Below are 2013 nucleotides of genomic sequence, written 5' to 3'. Positions count from 1 at the left end.
CTTCCATGTACCACATAGTGTGCTTTGCAGAGATAATTTGTCAAGGACATGACCCCTTTATGAAGATTATGGTCCTGTGGGAGAGAAGAACATTAAGGTGGAGAGTAAAATACTATGAGGCCTGCTGTTGCATTGTAGGGTAGACAGGAGGCGCTGTGGTAGGGCCAGGGAATAGTATCCTTGGAGCAAAACTAGGTTGGGTTTTAGAGATTAAGTGGCAGTTAGTCATCCGATTGCGGGAACAGGGGAAAAGATTCCAAGCAAAGGGAAGATCTGAGCAAAGATCAGGAGGCAAGAGGGAAGATTTGTGTTTTAGAGAATTACAACCAGGTTAATATTATTGAAGGTAGAGGTAGGGAAGAAAAGAAGAAGGTGGGAAGAGGAAGGCAGGCAGGGAAAGGGGGTGCAGGGTAGATGGGCAGAATGAGAGAGGAAAGGGAGGGGAGAGGAGAGGAAGGGAGGGAAGAGGAGGGAAGGGAGAAAATGGGAATATGGAAAGGATAGAGAGGCAAAATAGAAAGGAAAAATGGGGACCAGATTATAAAGAACTTTGTGACCCATGCTTAGGAGTTTGGACTTGAACTTGGGGAAATCAGAGGTCACAGAAGGCCTTAAACAACAGAAGAATGCTGAAGTTGGAAGTGAGTTTTACAGTACAACACGTGGAACACCTATTGCAGAGGAATCAGGAAGAGCAGGCCAGAGGTTGGTTGATCTGAGGCTTAATGAAAAGCCTTTCTTCCCTCCCTTCCTTCCTCCCTCCCTCCGTCCCTTCCTTCCTTCCTTCCTCCCATCCTTGCCTCTCTTCTCCCTTCCCCCTCTTTTTCTGTCCCCTCTCTCTCTTCTTCTGTCTTCCCTTTCTTCCGTTTTCCTCTACTCTCCTCTTCCTTTGGGTGTTGGGGAAGCCATGGAAACTTCTGAAGCTTGACAGGCAGGAAGGAATGCTGTGTGGATGCTCCATGGCTCTGAACCCAACAGAAGTGGTTTTGTGACTGTATAAGGAGCTGGTGACATCCATTCCTGCTGAAATTCCTCATGATTAAGACCAAGCTCCAGCCCATAAGAAGGCAGGGACTGCCGGGAAGTGACTCAGCAAGGGTGGCACAGATGATACCAGATTCTAAGAATCTAAACTATGTGGTTTGACGGAGCACCCTTGACTACTAAGCTGTTCTCTTCTTTCCTTCTGTGGCTTTGGCCTAGAAGAGGGTGTCAGGTTTGGTTATATCCATCCTCAAACTCTGTAGAATAGTTGTACAGGGCCCTATGAGCTCCCTGTAACCCTGTAACTCTAAGCCTAAAGGCCTGAGCTAAAGGCATAGTCAAGGTATTTACAATACAAAGCAAGGAGAACCAAGGGGGAGCTAAACACCACAGGCTTTACTTGAATAAATGAGGAGATCTCATTATACAATCTCCCTATATGAGTAAGAAAATTGAGTACCTGAATAATTAAAAGATAAGACCAGGAAGTATCAGTAAGGGTGAGCTTCATCTTGAAGTGATGGTCAAGAATGAAGGATCCCAGGCCAGACTGCCTTGGTTAGAATCCTGATTCCACCACTAATGAGGTGTGCAACTGGGGGGAAGTCATATCATCTCTCCATGCCTTGATTTCCCCATCTGTACAATGGGAATAATAATAGTCCCTATCTCACTGGGTTGCTGAAAGAATTAAATGAGTTAATACTTGAAAAGTACTTCAAAATAGCTCTTGGCACATAACAAATGTTTATAAAGTGTTTTGTTAAATGAACTGAAGAAAATCATCTTTCCCTTTTCAAATAAGTTGTGTAGGCCCTACACTGTAGGGTAACCTGGACATCTTTTCAGTTCTAGGTGAAGGAGGCCTGAAAATAGAGAGCTACATGTGCCCATGGGTAAATATTAATTGTGATCCAGCAGACAGATGTCTTTCTACTATTATGTCTTTGTAATAAAGAATCTGAACAAAGAAACTGAAGACAAAGAGAGAGATTTTTTCTTTAAACCCTTAGACCTCAGGCTGAAATT

The 2013-nt window shown here is 44.1% G+C and overlaps 1 annotated feature.

The window, feature by feature from the left end:
* Window positions 455-1654: an enhancer, noted in NCBI's record as "MED14-independent group 3 enhancer chr2:217970089-217971288 (GRCh37/hg19 assembly coordinates)". NCBI's record gives its function as "activates an origin of replication core promoter dependent on BRD2, BRD4, P300/CBP and CDK7 cofactors, and independent of MED14, by STARR-seq in HCT116 cells {active_cell/tissue: HCT116}" and the evidence as "EXISTENCE:reporter gene assay evidence [ECO:0000049][PMID:35650434]".

Source organism: Homo sapiens, chromosome 2 (genome assembly GCF_000001405.40).
Source record: "Homo sapiens chromosome 2, GRCh38.p14 Primary Assembly".
NCBI classification, from domain to species: Eukaryota; Metazoa; Chordata; class Mammalia; order Primates; family Hominidae; genus Homo; species Homo sapiens.
The sequence above is the reverse complement of the archived record's forward strand: the minus strand, read 5'-3'. Positions and strand labels throughout refer to the sequence as shown.